The 20672-nt window shown below is 42.4% G+C and overlaps 1 protein-coding gene across 4 annotated transcripts in view, besides 1 other annotated feature; it reads left to right on the top strand.

Moving 5' to 3' along the window:
• BFSP1 (beaded filament structural protein 1) overlaps positions 1 to 20672 on the top strand; it is a 75316-nt gene that overhangs the window by 4281 nt on the left and 50363 nt on the right. For 2 of the 4 annotated variants that reach the window (NM_001161705.2, NM_001278606.2), the window contains exon 1: positions 6107 to 6252. In NM_001161705.2, the coding sequence (NP_001155177.1) occupies positions 6251 to 6252 (2 nt within the window). In that variant the 5' untranslated portion in view covers positions 6107 to 6250. Of the gene's footprint in view, positions 1 to 1844; positions 1967 to 4361; positions 4584 to 6106; positions 6253 to 20672 lie in introns of those variants that run through there. The other 2 variants (NM_001278608.2, NM_001278607.2) reach the window with 2 other exon arrangements.
• Positions 6989 to 7704: an enhancer, noted in NCBI's record as "H3K27ac-H3K4me1 hESC enhancer chr20:17537881-17538596 (GRCh37/hg19 assembly coordinates)". NCBI's record gives its function as "activates a minimal SCP1, AML or CMV promoter by ChIP-STARR-seq in primed H9 embryonic stem cells {active_cell/tissue: H9 hESC(primed)}" and the evidence as "EXISTENCE:reporter gene assay evidence [ECO:0000049][PMID:30033119]".

Genomic DNA, 20672 nt, shown 5'->3' with positions numbered 1-20672 from the left:
AAAAAGTTACATGGGTATACACATTTGTCAAAACTTAAGATTTGTGCATTTTGCCGGACATGGTGGCTCACACCTGTAATCCCAGCACTTTGGGAGGCTGAGATGGGCAGATCACCTAAGGTCAGGAGTTCAGGACCAGCCTGACTAACATGGTGAAACCCCGTCTCTACTAAAAATACAAAAATTAGCCGGACGCGGTAGTGGGTGCCTATAATTCCAGCTACTCAGGTGGCTGAGTCAGGAGAATCGCTTGAACCCGGGAGGCGGAGGTTGCAGTGAGCGAAGATGGCGCCACTGCACTCTAGCCTGGGTGACAGAGCAAGACTCCTTCTCAAAAAAAAAGAAGAAGAAGAAGTAGTAGTTTAAATGAATCAAAGAAGTGGTAGTTTAGTAAGGGTTGTGTTTAGTTACAAGTAACAAAGACTTACAAAATAAGGGCTTAAGGCTTTATTACGTGTGTGTGTATGTGTATATGGTTTACTTCACACATAGAAGTACAGTGCCAAACAATTCAGATTTGTTATATTGACTTGATGGTGCTCAAAACCCAATTTCTTCATTTTTTTTTTTTTTTTTAGCCAGGTTCTCACTCTCACCCAGGCTGGAGTGCAGTTGTACAAACACGGCTCACTGCAGCCTTGACCTCCTGGGCTCAAGCAATCCTCCAATCTCAGCCTCTTGAGTAGCTGGGACCACAAGCTCACACCACCACCATGCCCAGCTAATTTGTGTGTGTGTCTGTGTCTGTGTGTGTGTGTGTGTCTGTGTATGTAAAGACAGAGTCTTGCCATGTTGCCCAGCCTGGTCTGGAACGCTTGGACTCAAGTGATCCTCCTGCCTCCGCCTCCCAAAGTATTGGAATTACAGGCATGAGCCACCACACCTGGCCCCAATTTCTATACTGTTGCTTTGTTGTGCATAGATTGTCTTTCTAAGGTTACCTCACAGTCCAGGATGACTGCTAGAGTACCAGCTATTACTTCCACATTTTAGGCAGTAAGAAGGAGGAAAAAAGATAAAAAGGGTATCCTCTTTTTTTTTTTTTTTTTTTTTTAGACACGGTCTCGCTCTATCACCCAGGCTGGAGTTACAGTGGCACGATCACCGCTCACTTCAGCCTCAACCTCCTAGGCTCAAGCAATCTTCCCACCTCAGCCTGTCAAGTAGCTAGGACCACAGGTGCACACCACTGCCCCCAGCTAATTTTTAAATATTTCGTGTGTGGAAACAAGATCTCCCTATGTTGCCCAGCATAAGCATCCACTTTTTTATAGAAAGATCCCAGAAACTGGTGGGGTGGTGGGGAGGAGGTGACTCACACCTGTAATTCCAGCACTTTGGGAGGCTGGGGAGGGTGGATCACCTGAGGTCAGAAGTTCGAGACCAGCCTGTCCAACATGGTGAAACCCTGTCTCTAGTAAAAATACAAAAATTAGCTGGGCATGTGCCTGTAGTCCTAGCTACTCCGGAGGCTGAGGCAGGAAAATTGTTTGACCTGGGAGGCAACAGCACGAGACTCTGTCAGAAAGGAAGGAAGGAAGGGAGGGAGGGAGGAAGGAAAGGTAGGAAGGGAGGGAGGGAGGGAGGGTGGGTTCCAGAAACATATACCATATTTCTAGACCACATACCCTGTACTATATAGGATTTCTCCTTTTATCTCATTGACCAGAACTTAGTCATATGGCTGCAAGGGAAGCTGGGAAACATGGTCTGTTCTCTGACTAGCAGTGTGCTCAGCTAAGACACTATTGTTCCTTTACTAAGGAAGAAGGAGAAAATGGATATTGGGAGATAACCAGTAGTGACTGCCACAGTTAGATATTATCACTGGCCTCATCCCACAGATGGGGTAAGGTGAAGAGACGTTCCTTGGGAGCCCAGAGGAGTACAGGATCTGATCCCAAGCCCTTTACCAACAGGCCGCATGACACAGCACTTGTGAGTGAGGCTGAACAAGAGAAATGAGGTATGTCTTGTTGCTTGCTTAACACCACAGAGGAGGTTAATTGGCAAAGTAAAACAAATAGAAGCTGTAGAAAATACATTCTGAACATTCCTTACTGCCCATAGCCTGGTGCTGATGGATCAGACAGCCCCAAGGGCCCTGGCATCTATTTTAGGAAAAGGCTAAATATGTTTAAGTATATTTGTGGGAAGGATACAGTACCACATGGTGACATTATTGATTTCTCTATTAGTCGTTATGGTAGAGTAAAAATCATATACCACTATTTTATAACATTAAAGGTTGACCAATTATGTATGTTTTTCAGATAATAGCATGCTTCTTGAGTTAAACAGTGAGAAAATGGAGTACAAAGTAGTACAATTATCTCAACCAGTGGTTCTTAGTCCCTCTTAGGCCATATATATTCCCTTTGGGATTCTTTTTTTTTTTTTTTTTTTTTTTTTTGAGACAGAGTCTCACTCTGTTGCCCAGGCTGGAGTGCAGTGGCGTGATCTTGGCTCACTGCAACCTCCACCTCCCAGGCTTAAGCAATTCTCTTGCCTCAGCCTCCCGAGTAGCTGGGATTACAGGTGCGTGCCACCACGCCTGGCTAAGTTTTTGTATTTTTTAGTAGAGATGGGGTTTCACCATGCTGGCCAGGCTGGTCTCAAAACTCCTGACCTTGTGACCGCCTGCCTTGGCCTCCAAAGTGCTGGGATTACAGGCGTGAGCCATCGCTCCCGGCCTGGGATTCTTATAAAAAGTATAAATCCTCCGGGCGCGGTGGCTCATGCCTCTAATCCCAGCACTTTGGGAGACCGAGGCGGACCGATCACGAGGTCAGGAGTTCGAGACCAGTCTGGCCAACATAGTGAAACCCCATCTCTACTAAAAATACAAAAAATTAGCCAGATGTGGTAGTGTGCGCTTGTAATCCCAGCTACTTGGGAAGCTGAGGCAGGATAATCGCATGAACCCAGGAGGCAGAGGTTGCAGTGAGCCGAGATCGCGCCGTCATACTCCAGCCTGGGTGACAGTGTAAGACTCCATCTCAAAACAAAACAAATTAAAAAAAAGTATAAAACCTCTCTCTAGAAAGACGGACATTTGTTTCTACTCACAAAGCTTGGCCTATAACCTTAGGGAGCTCATGAACTGCCCTGAAGCCCATCTAATAAATTAAATATTTCAAGAAAGTTTTTGGGAAATGTTCTAAAAAGCAAATCCAGTGCAAGGATAAATGAACAGTCCCACGGTTCCTTGCATACACACATACACACATCAAGGTCAGAGTGGGCATCACACCTCTCATCAACACAGAGCCTTTCAGAACTTTATAAAATATAGCATTTTGTAAAACACAAACGGTCTGAACAATACATGCAGAAATGCAGCCTGTTTTTATTCATTCATTCAGCACTATATCCTGGGGATCTCTCCAAGTTGTCTTCCATTTTTCATAAGCATGATACATTCTTTTTTTTTTTTTCTTTGAGGCGGAGTTTCGCTCTGTTGCCTGGGCTGGAGTGCAGTGGTGCGATCTGGGCTCGCTGCAACCTCTACCTCCCGGGTCCAAGCGATTCTCCTGCCTCAGCCTCCCGAGTAGCTGGGATTACAGGCACCCACTACTACGCCCAGCTAATTTTTTTGTATTTTTAGTACAGACGGGGTTTCACTGTGTTAGCCAGGATGGCCTCCATCTCCTCACCTCGTGATCTGCCTGCCTTGGCTTCCCAAAGTGCTGGGATTACAGGCATGAGCCACCATGCCCAACCTCCATGATACATTCTTTTTACACTTCTGATCCGGTTGTTGTACTTCCGGAGAAAGAAAAATGAACCACAAAATATTCAGAAAGGGGAAAACAAGGAAATCAAGCATTTTTTTAAGGATAGATGAAATGAGTTCAGACTCTTCAGCATGTAGGATTGAGTGTAATCACAAGTCATAAAATCATGAAGGATAGGAATGAAGAGACTAGAAATTTCACAGTAAACCTTAACATGTAAAAACAAGAGAGTTTTTCTAAAAGCTCAGAATAAGTCACTTTAGAAAAAATGAAAGGACTGTTTCACACGGTGGTTAAGAAAGGGAGGAAAGTGACAGTCAGAGGAGGAAAAAGCATGTCACAGACAGCAATGGGCTGGTTGTGGCAAGCTCTCTGGTTGGGACTCATTTTTCCCCAGCTCGTCCCATTATTCCCTGCAGACTTCTGCCTCACCCGCTGCAACTACAGGGCAGGAAAAACTCAGAACCAGCAAAGCGCCCACCCCAGAGGCTGCCAGGTAATGTCAGGGCAGTGCTGAAGCCCTGCTGGGATATGGAGGTGATACCAGTGCATGCAGGTGGGCAACTTGTTTATATTCACAATGGGAAGCCACTGTCAAATCTAACTGAACATTTTTTCATTTAGATTTGAGGATGTTTCCTGAGGTCCTACTGTGTGCCAGCTGCGGCCATGTTAGCTACCAGGAATATGAAGATGAATAAGGAGATCACAAGTGAAAACAGAAATGCCAAGATAAACTTGGCCCAAGTTCCCTTGGGAATTCTCAGGATCCTACCTGGTGCAGCAGATCACACCAGGGAGATGTTACTGGATCTTTGATGAGTGGAGCATCCACAGAGGAAGGAAGTGAGTGTTTGTTAATGACATCATTCGTCACTTATGTTGGCAAATATGAATATGGAAGAGATGGCTGGAGGGTTTATTCAAAGTTGGATATTTGGAGGAAGAGAATGCCTGATGTCCTACCAAAAAAAATTAGACCCTATGGACCAAGATACATAAGATAGATGTAGATATGTAATGGGTTTCCTCCCTGTTTTTTTATTTTCTTTGGGGTCTGCTCTGGCTTACCTCCTAATTTTCCTGTCTTCTCGGGGGTAGCAGGAGGGATGTCAAATGATGGTTCAGCCAAAGAAACCCAGCTCTTCCTGATGAGGGAACTCTGAGTTGTATTCAAGGAAAACAAACACCAAAAACAGATAGCCAAAGGCCAATGGTCATGATTTGAAATTTGAGTGCCTTTTACTGTAACTGTTTTGCTCCAATATTTCCACTGCCAGTCCTTCGGTGAGGTATTTGACTCTAGATAAGAGGTCCCCAACATTTTTGGCATCAAGGACTGGTTTTGTGGAAGACAATTTTTCCACAGACGGGGTGGCAGGGGGATGGTTGGCGGGGGATTGGTTTCAGGATGAAACTGTTCCATCTCAGATCATCTGGCATTAGTTAGATTCTCACAAGGAGCGTGCAACCTAGATTCATTGCATGCACAGTCCACAATAGGGTTCCCACTCCTATGAGAATCTAATGCCGCCGCTGATCTGACAGGAGGTGGAGCTCAGGTGGTCATGCTCACTCGCCGCATTCCTAACAGGCCACAGACCAATACTGGTTCATGGCCCAGGGGTGGGGACTCGTGCTCTGGATGACACAAATTCTAGTCTTGCCTAGCCCTACTGTTAAGTAGCCATAGGACCTCTGCAAGGTGCACCCCTTTGGGACTCCTTGTCCTCACCTGTAAACTCAAGATGTTGACTAATTTGACCCTTTTAACTCTAAAAGGTGATGCTTGCACTCCACAGAAGAGATACTGAGTGCCTGGCACAGTCTTAGCAATTCGTGAAGTATCCTGTTCTAGTAATACTAACGCAGTCTCTTAAATTTTGATTTATAAACTCTAGGCCTTGGGCTCTAGACAAAACAGGGCTCTAGAGGACTTGTTTTTGTTGTTGTTGTTGTTGTTGTTTTTTAATGGCAAAAGCAATAAATTGCTGTAGTTTTCTAGATTGTAGACTTAATGTGGTTCTCCCAACTATCCATGTCTGGGCAAAGGGAGCTGATTGACACAAGAGATCAAACAGCATTAGCTTCAACATCCTTACGTGTAAATGAGGCAAACAACATCACATCTTGCAATTGGTCCTGCTTTTTTTTTTTTCTTTACTCTTCTTTTTGGAAGGGGGAGTGGAGGTGAGTGGTCACTAAATTCAGGCCCAGTCATTAAGAGGTGGTCCCCTAGTAAAATTTTCCATGCTGGAAGTGGAAGGAATTGCTTGCTCATTTATATTCTCTATCCTGTGGAAAGCCTTCCCTCCCACCCCTTGAGCCAGTGAGTCACTTCCTCTCTGCAAACCTCTAAAGCCTCCTTTCTTTCTCAGCCCAGACCTGGCCCTCTGGAGAGGGTTTTGGAGTCCTGGGTAGGCAGGGTACCTCAGGCAGCAGGCAGCACACCTTGGATGTGAGCTGAATGGATTTTCAAATTTCACAGAAGGAGCCTCCATGCTGGAGAAAGTATGTAAGTGTTCTGATAAACGGCAAGTGTTGGATTCTAGGTTTAGCATTTTTTCTTTTTGCTTTAAAGAACTCTAGGAAAGAAACTCCCGTAGAAGGTACAGCAAGCGGGTTGCACATTTGTTTTATGACTCATGGAAATTTCTAAAATGATAAATATTGGCTCAGTAGTAGTCTGACATAAGACACACTCAACTAAAGCACCATGGTTACAAGAAACAAGAAGTGCATATTCGGTAAATAAAGTGTGGCTCCACTTCCAAAAGCTTTCAGAGAAAAAAGAGCAGCACGCAAGGCCTGGATTCTTGAGTTTCCCTTCTTGAACGGCCAAAGTTCCATTTGTTTTTCCCAAGGCCAGAAACTTCCCTGAGATGACTGCAGTGTCTTCCCAGTCAGGAAGCCATTTTAAATGGTTTGGGTGCTATACTTTATTCAGTCCAGAGTCTTTTTGGCTAATGTAATGAAAAAATTTTACGCATCATAAAAATTAATGAGGTTGAAGAGACAAGTATTTTTCTCCTAAAAAAAAAAAGGAAAATAAATATTTTTCTTGCTGAGTAAAACCCCCCCCCATCTTTGTGTGTATAAGATGCTAGCCATCTTGGAGAGATGTAAGGAATCTGGAATATCAGCTTTTCAGATGAAGTTTAGAGAATGTGAGCCACAAATAATGGCTGGGGTCCTCCTGAGTCGAGTTTTTATTTCTTATGAAACAAAGTCAGCATTACTTTAACTTCTCATGAGCTGATTTTAGTTTCTAAAGAAAATATAATAGACTAAAATTCATACCCAATGAAAAGGCCATTGTATCCACTTACTAACAGCTGGGAGTGAGCAGCTTGGATCTGCCTTTCAGCTGGGTTTTCCTGCATAACAGGTTTATTAACAGAGCAGCGTGACTCACAAGCAGTGTTCTTTAGAATCACCCCCCAACACACACACTGGAACCACGATAAACACTTGGTAAGGAGGATCAATCACAAAATAAACTGAGGAAAGACTCAGGCTACAATTCTATGCTTCAAATAAAACAGCAAAAGAGACTGTTAGGCGCATGAAGGTCCCAGGCAAGAGACCTGGAAGAAGGCACCAAATCTGAAAAGGTGATTCAGTAAGTTAGCTGGGTCATGCCGGCAACCCTCCTACAACCACTCATGGATATATGGACTTCCCTTGAGCCAGGAGGGCCCAGGACTGAGTCACTAGAATACGTTGTAGGGGACATAGGGGGGCAGAGAAAGCTAAAGCCATTCTGTAAGCTCCTGCAGAGAAGCCCCCTTGAGGTAGGGGAGAGATGAGGTGCCCCCCATGGTCTGCAACACCAGTGCAGGTGGGAAGGGATATGCAATGAGGCGCTGTATTCAAAGGCCCTTTGACCCAGCTGCTGGGAAGCGTATCTCAAATTTCTCCAAAGAGAAACTGCGAGGGCCAGATTATTCAGAGAGATTGACGTGGGACCTGGTATCAATGCTGCAGAAACGGACTTCTCCTTTGCACGGCCTGGCCCTCTGTATTTGCCCTCCCTTTGCTTTTCCACTCATCTTATATTAATCAGTGTTGCAACAGGAGGGAGCTCTCCCCACCAGTGAGGCAGTGGCAGGAGTGTCTCTGCAGGTAGCCAAGGTGATGCTGGCAGCCAGGGAGGCAGCAGTTGGGATAGCTCTGGCAAGATCACCTCGCTGGCTGCCAGGGAGAGAGCCTGGGCCCTGAGCCAGGACACGGATGGGCCTGGATCATTCTGCTGTGAGCCAAACACCATTAAAAATAATTTCAGAAGGGAAACCACTTTGGTGCATTTTTTCTGGCTATTAAAAAAATACAGATTTATCAGGGGAAAAAAATGTTGAAAATGTCTAAGAAAGAAAATAAATGTTCCCTATTAATTTTCCTGCCACATATTTATATAATAATAAAGAGGTCGTTTTAAAAAATTTAATTATATAAATTATCTGGGAATGTCTTCTTATTAAAAAAAAAACTCTGGGTAGAAAAATGTCACCTTCACTCCCCTGCAATTCTTTCCCTCCTCACCAAATTTAAGCTCTACTACTGGTTTAAAATGTGCAGAACAAAGTCTGTCCTTCCAGGTTTTGCTTATTTACACACACGATAGATAGATAGATCAATAGATAGTAATAGATAGTTTTGTGTTCCTGTGTTTTTTTATTATTATTTTTAATTTTTTCTTTTTTAGAGATAGGCTGTCAGTCTGTCACCCAAGCTGGAGTGCAGTGGTGTGATCATTAACTCACTGCATCCTCAAACTCCTGGGTTCAAGAGATCCTTCCACCTCAGTCTCCCAAGTAGCTGGGAATACAGGCACACACCACCATGCCCAGCTAACTATTGTATTTTTTTGTAGAGTCTTGCTATGTTGCCCAGGCTGGTCTCAAATTCCTGGCCTCAAGCAGTCCTCTCGCCTTGGCCTCCAAAAGTGCTGGGGTTACAGGCACGAGCCACTGCACCCGGCTGATGATTGTATTTTAAATTTTGCTTAAGAAAGCCTTTCTACCACCAAGATTTCATTTGGAATTAGTTTTATATATTGTGAGATACCTAACTTTATTTTTTCTCAAATATATATCCATTTTCCCCAAAACTTTTTGTCTAACTAGCTTATCCTTTCCCATTGGTATAAAATGTCATTTTTACCATCTATTCCATTCCCATGTAGAAATGGACCAACATGGGTCTATTGCTTGCTCTATTCTCTCCACTGATTTCTTCATTCTTATACAAATATCACCTTTTTCATTACTCTGGCTCTATTGTATATTTTAAATATTTGATGGGCCCTTGTTCTTCTTGTAAAAATTGTCCTTAGTTATCCTTATACATTTTCTCTTTCATATGAATTTGACAATCTTCTTGTGAAGTTCTATTTAAAAATCTTGATGGTATTTGATTGGTATTGCACAGTTTTTAATCATCAATTTGTGGGGAATCCATTATCTTTACAATATTGATTCTTTTCACCTGTGAACATGGCATGTTTCTGTAATTCTTATTGTTTTGTTTGTTTATTTTGTTTTGTTTTTTGAGACAGGGTCTCATTCTGTTGCCCAGGCTGGAGTGCAGTGGCACAATCTCAGCTTACTGCAACCTCTGCCTCCCGGGTTCAAGCGATTCTCATGCCTCAGCCTCCCAAGTATCTGGGATTACTGGTGTGGGCCACCATGCCTGGCTAATTTTTCTATTTTTAGTAGAGACAGGACATCACAATGTTGGTCAGGCTGGTGTCCAACTCCTGACCTCAGGTGATCTGCCCACCTTGGCCTCCTACAGTGCTGGGATTACAGGCATGAACCACCACTGCCGGCCATGTTTCTGTAATTGTTTGGGCATTCCTTTGTGACTCTCAGTAAAACTTTGTACTATTCTTTTTTTTTTTTTTTTTTTTTTTGTGAGATAGGATCTCACTCTGTCACCCAGGCTGGAGCGCAACAGCACGAACACAGCTCACTGCAGCCTCAAGAGATCCTCCTGCCACAGCCTCCCATGTAGCTGGGACCACAGGCATGCACCACCATGCCTGGCTAATTTGTTTTAATTTTTTGTAGAGACAGGTTCTCACTTTGTTGACCAGGCTGGTTTCAAACTCCTGGGCTGATGTGATTCTCCCACCTCGGCCTCCCAAAGTGCTGGGATTACAGGCATGAGCCACTGCACCTGGCCTACTTTTCTTCATGTAGAGTCTATGCATGGCTTAATTAGATTATTTCAAGGTATTTTGTGATTTTTAGTTAATTATAATTCATTATTGTTTATTAAAGACAAACATTTGATTTTGTTTATTAGTCTTATAGCCAGCCATCTTACTGAGCCCTCATTAATTCTAATACTTTTCCTCTTAATTTTCTTAGACGTTATGGGAATGAGATATAAGCAACAAATGAGAGTTCTATTTCTTTGTTTCTAATTTTTATAACTAATTTCTAATTCTTGTCATTGCATGGGTTAGGTTTGGAAGCATAATGCTGACTGGTGGCGATCCTTATCTTGTTCCTGACTTTGGTGGAAAAGCATCTAATATTCCATCATCTGTTCTGCTCTTTCTGTTAGGCTTCTGGCAGATATCCTTTAATATGTCAAATAAATTTCTTGTCTTATTTTTGTAAGACTTTTCATCAGTGGTGGGTATTTAGTTTCATTAACTAGGTGTTCCCCTCCTTTAATTTGTTAATGTAGTAAATTATATTAATGGATTCGCTAATGCCAAACAATTGTGGCCTTCTATGATACATTCTGCTCGGGCTTGAGGTGTGTTCTCTGGAACTACTGCTAGATATGGTTTATTAGTCATTTACTTAGGATCTTTACATTTATTTTCACAAGGAAGGCCTATGTTTTATTTTGGTTTTGTGTTTGTGAAAACACAAAATAAAGAATAAATTGGGACTATTTCCTTCTTTGCCTTTTCTCTGAACAAGTTATATAAGGCAAGACTTACCTGTACCTTAAAGCTTTGATAGTATTGGCCTGAGAAACCAGCAGGTCCTTAGACCTGATCTTAAACATAAATCTAACAAAGTCAGCCTTAAACTAATTTTTATATTTTCTTTTGTTCTTCTCAAGTTTTCTATTTCTTGAGTCAACTTTGGCACTTTGTCTTTTTTTCTAGAAAATCATGCATTTTATGTAGATTTTAAATTTGGGGGACATAATACTGTACATAATAGTTTCTATTCCCTAATGCTAAAAATATGCCATCTGCAACTGTAGTTTAATTATCTTTGTGCCAAAGATAATTAAATTGTGACTTCTCTTGTATTTACTCAGACTTGCCATCAGAAATATATATGTGTGTATATATATATATGTATATATATGTGTATATATATGTATATATATGTGTATATATATATATGTGTGTGTGTGTGTGTGTGTGTGTGTGTGTATATATATATATATATATGTTTATATATTTTTAACAGGTCTTTTCAAAGATCCCAATTCTAACTGGTATAAGATGAGCTCTCTACTAATAAATCCGAAAGGCCTTGATGATCACCTTATCTAAAGTAGTTTGCCACCCCACTTGCCTCCACTGTCTATCCTCTTTCTGTTCTGTATGATTTTTGAAGCACTTATCAGCAACTGACACACTGTATATTTGTTTAGTTGTTTACTGTCTCTTTAACCCTAATAGAATATCTGCTCCATAAGTATAGGTACTTTGTTTTCTTCATCACTGAATTGCCAATGAATTTTTCGAATGTCACTTGGCACATAGATGATAAACACTAAATATTTGTTGAAGTTGTTGATTGAAGTAATTGTTCTTTCATTGAGGATTTTTGTTTTTGTTTTTTTGTCTACCCTGTGAATTTTATTCCATGGATTTTAGTTGTTCTTGTTGAGTTTGGCATTTCATCCTCATAGTTTCTTCCCCACCACTTTCCTGAAACTGCTTTTACTCATATGACCATGGAACGTCACATTGCTAAATCCAATGGCCAATTCTTAGTCCTCATCTCATACAACATAGTCAGTCATATCTTCTCTTCACTTTGAAACACTTTACTTACTTGGCTTCCGGAATCCCACACACTCTTCCTGATTTTCCACCTACCTATCTGGTCCTTTTCAGGCTCCTTTGCTGGTTCCTCTTCATCTCCTAACCGCTGATCTCCAGAGTCCCCATGCATACTAAGTTCTTAGACTTCTTCTCTTTACTCTCTGCACTAATTCCCTTAGTTTTCTGATTCAGTTTCATGACTTTAAATATCTTCTCTCTGCTGTTGGTTCCCAAATTTATGTCTGTCCTTGACCTCTCTCCAGATTTCTGACTTGTAGATGCAACTGTCTATTCAACACTTGCCCTTGGATGTTTCATAGACATCTCAACTTCTCATAATTAAAACAGAAATCTTGATATTTTTCCCCCAAATCTGCTTCACTTCCAGTCTTCCCCATCTTGTAAATGTCAATTTCATCCTTCCAGCTTCAGATTTTATCCTTGTCTCTTCTCTTTCACATCCCACATCAGTACATTCTGTTGGTTCTACCCTCAAAATATATATAGAATTCTATCACTCCTCATTACCTCCATTGCTATCACCCTGGTCTAACTCACCATCACCTCTAAACTGGATTACTGCAATGGTCTCTTGGCTGGTCTCTCTGCTTCTGCTATTCTCAGCACAGCCATGAAAGCCATGCTGTTAAGTTGTAGGTCAGTTTATGCCACTTCCTTGCCAAAATTATCAAAGGCTTCCCTTTACTCTCACAGTGAAGCCAAATCCTTATGGAGGATTTGTAGAAATCCCGTGGGATCTGTCCTCTCGTTGCCCTTCCTGACCTCATCTGACCCGCACTCTATCCTCACCTGCCCCACTCTTGCCATGATGGCCTCTGCACCCTTCCTTGAACAAACCAGGCACATCCTATTATATTTATTCTTCCCCATGTTTAGAACGCTCTTTCTTCAAGAATCCAAATGGCTTTCCCATCACTTCCTTCCGTTCTCTACTCAGATGTAACCTCCTCAGTGAGGTCTTCTCTGACCACCCTGTCTAAAATTACCAGATGCCCCACCATCCTCCCAGTTCCCTTTTCTTTATTTTTCTCTGTAACACTTATCACCACTTATTATACTCTATTTTTCACTTATTTATCTTATTTACTTTCTGTTTTCTCCAATTGAATATAAGCTCCACAAGAACAGGGATCAGGGATTTTTATTTTCTTCTTTTTTTTTCTTTTTGAGAGAGAGTCTTGCTGTTGTCGCCTAGGCTGGAGTGCAATGGTGTGATCTCGGCTCACTGCAACCTCTGCCTCCTGGGTTCAAACAATTCTCCTGCCTCAGCCTCCTGAATAGCTGGGATTACAGGTGCCCGCCACCATGCCCAGCTAATGTTTTTGTATTTTTAGTAGAGACGAGGTTTCACCATGTTGGTCAGGCTGGTCTTGAACTCCTGACCTCAGGTGATCCACCCGCCTCTGCCTCTCAAAGTGCTGGGATTACAGGTGTGAGCCGTCACACCCAGCCTTATTTTATTTTTTTCACTTCTGTATCCCAAGGCCCAGAAGAGTGTTGGCACAGGGTAGGTTGTCAATACATATTTGTTGAATAAATACATGAATAAGATTGGTGGTGTAGATGTACAAGTGATTTCAGGTACAGATGTGATACCTAAGGGTAGCAGCCATCTGTGAGCTTGAGCACTGATATAGTTTGGATGTTGTCACCTCTAAATTTCAAGTTGAATTGTAATCCCCAATGTTAGAAGAGGGGCCTGGTGGGAGGTGATTGGATCGTGGGTGTGGATCACTCATAAACGGCTTAGCGCCTTCTCCCTGGTGCTGTCTTTGTGACAGTGAGTGAACTCTTGAGAGATCTGGTCATTTAAAAGTGTGTGGCACCTCTCTGCCTTCCTCCCACTCTCACTGTGTGACCAGACAGCTCCCCCTTTGCCTTCTACCATGAGTAAAAACTCCCTGAGGCCTCCTCAGAAGCCGAGCAGATGCTGGTGCCATGCTTCCTGTACAGCCTGCAGAACCGTGAGCCAACTAAACTTCTTTTCTTTATAAATTACCCAGTCTAAGGTATTTATAGCAATGCAAGTATGGCCTAATACAGGCACTAAGCCACATACTAAAGCCAGCAGAGTGAAGAGTTGGAATGAACCTGGGACTGAAGGCTCCACCACACTCGCCCTGAACTGCCTACCTCTGGACTGCATGTCATCATGTTAGGGAAGCAGGAGCATAGGAGAGCCAGAGTGGCACCATTTTAAAATCAACTCCATCGTAAAACTGGCAAGGCACATTTCTTGTCTATCATGACCTGTGGTTATATGATGTTTACAGCTGAGGAAACAGCTTAACAATGCCTGCAAGGATAAACTATGACAGAAAAAAATGTCCAGATGTCCTGGTATTGCATAATAATACATGCTTTTAAAATGATTGTAGTTGGCCAGGTACGGTGGCTCACGCCTGTAATCCCAGCACTTTGGGAGGCCGAGGCGGGTGGATCACCTGAGGTCAGGAGTTTAAGACCAGCCTGGCCAACATGGTGAAACCCCATCTCTACTAAAAATACAAAAATTAGCCGGGTGTGGTGGTGGGCAGATGGGCACCTGTAATTCCATCTACTCAGGAGGCTAAGGCAGGAGAATAGCTTGAACCTGGGTGGCAGAGGTTGCAGTGAGCTGAGATCACGCCATTGCCCTCCAGCCTGGGAGATAAGAGTGAAACTCCGTCTCAAAAAAAAAAAAAAAAAAAGGATTATAGTCATGCTTTGATGTACTTATGCACTAAAATGCCAAGAACAGTTTTCTTTAAATCAACAAACTAATAAATCTTGTGACACTGTCAGCCCCCCAACAGGTAGATATAGCTTAACTTTTATATAGGTAAGACCCTATATAAGAAAAATTTAAAACAAAGATGAGACATTTCTCCTCTTGCTTTCTGAGGACACCCTACTCTGTAACTAAGTGGCTTTTAATAAGCTTTCTCTTCTCACTGTTCTCTGTGACTTGCCTTGACTTCTTTCCTGCACAAAGTCCAAGAACCCCCTCTTGGTGTCTGGGTCAGGATCCCTTTCCTGGCAACAATTAGAGAAAAATAATCCTGATGTGGGTAAGCCTGTTGTGTGCATCTGAAAGCAATCCCGAGTGGTACTACCTCATGGCCTGGAAAGGTTGAGAACTATTCTGAGGGTAAATAGAGAAGTGGGCTTGGGACAGATCTCCTAGTGATATGGTTTGGATCTATGTCCCCACCCAAATTTCATGTCTAATTGTAATCCCCAGTGTTGCAGATGGGACCTAGTGAGAGGTGATTGGATCATAAGGGTAGATCCTTTATGAGTGGTTTACTTTTTATTTAATTAATTTATTTATTTTTGAGACAGGGTCTTGCCCTGTTTCCCAGGCTGGAGTGTAGTGGCACGATCTTGGCTTACTGCAACTTCTGCCCCCCGGGTTTAAGTGATTCTTGTGCCTCAGCCTCCTGAGTAGCTGGGATTACAGGTGTGTGCCACCACGCCAGGCTAGTTTTTGTATTTTTAGTACAGACGGGGTTTCACCATGTTTCCCAGGCTGGTCTCGAACTCCCGACCTCAAGTGATTCACCCTCCTTGGCCTCCCAAAGTGCTGGGATTACAGGCATGAGCCTACTGTGCCTGGACTGTGAATGGTTTGGCACCATCCCTTTGGTGCTGTTCTCGTGATAGAGTTCTCATGAGATCTGCTTGTTTCAAAGTGTGAAGCACCTCCCCACTCTCTCTCTTGCTCCTGCTCTGGTGATGTAAAACGTGCTTGCCCCTGCTTTCCTTCTGCCATGATTGTGAGTTTCCTGAGGCTTCCCCAGAAGCAGAACCTGCCATGCTTCTTGTACAGCCTAAGGAACCATGAGTCAATTAAACCTCTTTTCTTTATAGATTACTCAGTCTTGGTATTTCTTTATAGCAGTGCGAGTACAGACTAATACAACCAGGAACCCCAGTAATTCAAAGATGTGATATTTAAGAGGATTCGTTCTAGAGGCTGAGAAGGAATAACAAACATGGCAAAACACAGAAGCAACTGGATTCATGCAGCCAAGATCAAGTGCTGCAAAAGGGAAATATGGGGCTGGCATAGTGGCTCACACCTATAATCCCAACAGTTTGGGAGGCCAAGGCAGGGGAATCACTTGAGACAAAGAGTTTGAGACCAGCCTGGGCAACATAGTGAGACTCTATCTCTACAAAAAATAATTTAAAAACTAGCCTGATGTGGTGGCATGTGCTTGTAGTCCCAGCTATTTGGGAGGCAAGGGCAGGAGGACCCCTTGAGCCCAGGAGTTTGAGGCTATAGTGAGCTATGATCACACCACTGCACTCCAGCCTGGGTGACAGAGCAAGACCTCATCTAAAAAACAAACAAACAAACAAACAAACAAAACTACCACCACCAAAAAACAATAAGTATAAGAATCTGTTTTCTTTTGTAAAAATACACAGTTGGAGACTGGTTATTTTACCAAGGCTTTGACTGAAATGTTATGCTTTTAGACTGATTTTTTAAAAATTGAGGTTGACTCCAAGAACTGATAAAAGCCCCTTGGAGAAGACTGGCATCATACTCGGTCTATGCAGTCTCTGTACCTGGTGAGAAAAGAATGTCACTTTCTAATGGCCCAAGAACCCCAAGTTATCTTGGGACCTCCAGAGGAGAGGAATTCACCCAATTCATACAGGTATTTGCAGGAACAGATAAATTTGTGGCTGGGCTTGAGGCTTTAACAAGTCTGAATCTGAGATTTCTTATGTAAAAAGTTTCAGCAAAGCCAGTTTAAGAGAGCCTGTAAGGCAAATAATTATTATTGGTAAACTTTATGCAAATCATCAGGCCAAGAATAGTAAGACTAAAACTTATTTTGTAAATAAATTGATCGTACCATAATTTGTTTTTAATAAAAATGAGAGACTAGAGAGAAAAACATTATCATACACATGCTATTAGATTCTAGCCTTGTCTGTCGTTTTTGAGGGTTTTTCTTTTTTTTTTTTTTTTTTTGCATTATTTTCTGCAATTTGGACTAGATCTTAAATTCTTTCCAGGCTACAACTCCAAACTAACATTCTCTGGATAGATTATGCCCACTATTAATATTTGTTTTTCCCCCGTTTCCATAAAAATGCCTCTATTGGCTGGGTGCAGTGGCTCACAACTGTAATCCCAGCACTGTCGGAGGCTGAGGCAGGCAGATCCCCTGAGGTCAGGAGTTTGAGACCAACCTGGCCAAGATGGTGAAACCCCTGTCTCTACTAAAAATACAAAAAAAAAAAAAAAAAAAAAATTGGCCGGGCATGGTGGCATAAGCCTGTAATCTCAGCTACTTGAGAGGCTGAGGCAGAAGAATTGATTGAGCCTGTGAGGCAGAGGTTGCAGTGAGCTGAGATTGCACCACTGCACTCCAGCCTGGCAACAGAATGAGACCTTGTTTCAAAAAAAAAAAAAAAGAAAGAAAAAGAAAAAAAACATGTCTCTTATTAAAAATCCACTTGCTTTATGTTTTAGACAGCAGGAGGCTGGTTTTCCAACCAATTCACTTAGATTCCAAATGCCATCCAATTTCTTTTTACAAACATTGTTAAACTGGGCTTAAGCATTTTATTAATTATCATTGGGTGCTATTTGATTTTTAAAATGATTATTTGTTATATTCAACAGGGGTACAGATGGTTAAAGTTTATGTCTTCCAGGCTTCAACAGTTCTGAATCAAGCTAATAATGGCCCAAATATTCCAATCCACACCATCCCAGGAGGAGCCCAGTTTTTACAGGTCTTTAAAACAGTAAGCGAGAGATTTCAGTGCCCTCAAAATTAGGCAAGGATGACAACCCTGTTCAGCAGGAAGCAGCTTCGGAAGATGAGATCTTTGGCCCTGTCTCCTTAAGAATAAGAAGGATGAAATCTCTCTGGGGGAATTGAGGTACAATAGGAATGGGACAGACTTCCTCCCTCATATATATATTTATTTATTTATTTTACTATTTTTTCCTTAATTATATTTAATTTTTTACAGAGACAAAGTCTTACCATGTTGCCCTGACTAGTCTCAAACTCCCGGACTCAAGGAATACTCCTGCCTCTGTTACTGGAAAAAGGAGTTGACATTGTTTGGCTCTGTGTCCCCACCCAAATCTTTTTTTTTTTTTTTTTTTTTGAGATGGAGTCTTGCTCTGTCACACAGGCTGGAGTGCAGCAGTGGCATGATCTCAGCTCACTGCAACCTCTGCCTCCCAGGTTCAAGCAATTCTCCTGCCTCAGCCTCCCAAGTAGCTGGGATTACAGGTACCTGCCACCACACCCGGCTAATTTTTGTATTTTTAGTAGAGACAGGGTTTCACCATGTTGGCCAGGCTGGTCTCGAACTCCTGACCTCGAGATCCACCTACCTCGGCCTCCCAAAGTATTGGGATTACAGGCGTAAGCCACCGCTCCTAGCTGAAACAAAGAGCTGCTTTCTTCTTTGTTTTTTTTGTTTTTTAAATGGAGTCTCACTCTGTTGCCCAGGCTGGAATGCAGTGTGGTGTGATCTTGGCTCACAGCAACCTCCACCTCCCGGGTTCAAGGGATCCTCCTGCCTCAGCCTCCCAAGTAGTGGGGACTACAGGTGTGCACCACCACACCCAGCTAATTTTTATATTTTTAGTAGAAACGGGGTTTCAACATGTTGGTCCAGGCTGGTCTCAAACTCCTGTCTTCAGGTGATCCACCTGCCTTGGCCTCACAAAGTGCTGGGATTACAGGCATGAGCCACTTCGCCCAGCCCCAAATCTTATCTTTAATTGTAATTTCCACATGTTGAGAGAGGACGAGTAATCCCCACGTGATTGGATTATGGCGGCGGTTTCTCCATGCTGTTCTCATGATAGTGAGTGAATTCTCATCAGATTTGATGGTTTTATAAATGGTAGTTCTTCTTGCAGTCTCACGTGCTCTCCCTCTCTCTCACCTGTCACAATGTAAGACATGCCTGCTTCCCCTTCTGCCATGATTGTAAGTTTTCTGATGCCTCCCCAGCCACTCGAAGCTGTAAATCAATTAAGCCTCTTTCCTTTATAAATTACCCAGCCTTGGGAAGTTCTTTATAGCAGTGCGAAAATGGACTAATACAGTGGTCTTGATCCAGACCCCAGGAGGAGATTCTTGGATCTCGCACAGGAAAGAATTCAAGGTAAGTGGTAAAGTGTGATGAAAGACGAGATAGTTTATTGGAAGCTACTCTGTCACAGAGTAGCACATTTTCAGAAAGCAAGAGGAGGAACACACCATTTTTGTTTCAAGTTTTTCTCATATGGGGTCTTGTCTATGTAAAGACTAAACTAAGCTGTGCCAATGTGCAGGTGGGCCGACAGCATGACAAAATGTATTATTCTGTTGATTTAAAGAAAACTATCTTTGGCATTTTAGTGTGCAAGTACATCAAAGCATAAGTATAATGATCTTGAAAGCATATCTTGTTATTGGTATTGGGACATCTAGGTTTTCTGTTGTTGTAGGAGTTTGCCCTTGCAGGCATTACCAAGCTGCCTCCTAGGTTGTAAACACCTTAGGACCATGGGTTGTGACTGGAAAAGAGTGTGCCTCACTAGTTTTAAGATGGAGTTGATTTTAAAATGTTTTCACTCTGGCTGTCTTAGGCTCCTGCTTCTCTAACACCTTGGCCTTTCAAAGTGTTGGGATTACAGGCATAAGCCACCGTGCCCGGCCCCCTCCTTCATAATGTTTAACCATGCCTTTTACTTAAAGAATTCCAGGAACTGGCCTTAGGAAATCTAAATATCAAACCAAGGAAGGAATGCTGAACAATTAATTTACAGCCTTGTTGATGCTGGCCAGACCATCAGATGGCCCATTACTCAAGATAACCATCACAACCAGTTATGCCACCTGCATACCCTACCTCTCCTGTGCTTCGTCCAGCCCAGCCCGCAAACCCTACCCCCAGTGTCAATGCTCATGCTTTGCCTAATAAAAAAAAGCCCTACCTGCTCTTTTTGGAAAGTCAGTCAGGCAATTCTCTTTTTCTCTTGTGCTACCTCCCTTTTGCCTGGGCATAAGCTCCATTGAAGCCTCGCCTGGGAAAACTCTTTTGTCCTCATGTCAATTTCTATTGCATTGAGAGCCCAAGAATGAGAGGTTAGTAAAATATTGACTTTCCCCTTTTCACATGACAAGAACACAAATGATCAGATTATGTAACAGATACATTTCTCAGCTTGGGAATGCAGTTTGTAGGTGTTAATGATCATTTTAGTGTTTGAACCTTTGTCTGGATGCATGGGAAAGTCTTAAAATGTTATTTGTCCTAAAAACTTGATTGGTTTCAGTTACTGGGGAAGCCTATTATTACAGCTGCTAAAAGCTTGATGATTTTTGGAAAAAGAGGGATGTTTTACGTTTTCATGATGTCTTGGCTATTCCACAGCACTGTGAAAAATAACAGATACATCTGTAATTTTAGGTGATGGATATTCAGGAGGTGGTAAGAGGTTCAAAACAGAATTATGGTTTTAACTCCATATATTATTCCCAACTCTGTGTTGATTTAATGGGAACTCTCATACTGATTTTTTTAAGTTAGGTAATTTATTTCTTGTCTTAGTACTGCCATTAAAACCAGCATAGACACAGCTCTTTTGTTTTGTTACATTATTATCTCTAGAGAGCTGATCTATTAAAATAACTATGTAGAGGTACTTCAGCTAATTTGATTACCTGAAAACAATAATGTGGGGCTGTAGCAGTGGCTGTGCTGCACCCCCGTACCCCCTCAGCACTCACCTCTATGTGCTAAAGCCTGCTTACTCTAAACCATCTGCCACTTTCTGTCCCACAAGTGCTGCACAATTGGGAGTTGGGGCTGTGTAGGGAGCAGCCCTCAACCAATGATGGATAGGGGATTGGTGGATAAGTACC

Source organism: Homo sapiens, chromosome 20 (genome assembly GCF_000001405.40).
Source record: "Homo sapiens chromosome 20, GRCh38.p14 Primary Assembly".
In the NCBI taxonomy this organism is placed as follows: Eukaryota; Metazoa; Chordata; class Mammalia; order Primates; family Hominidae; genus Homo; species Homo sapiens.
This window is presented reverse-complemented; position numbering and strand designations above follow the sequence as displayed.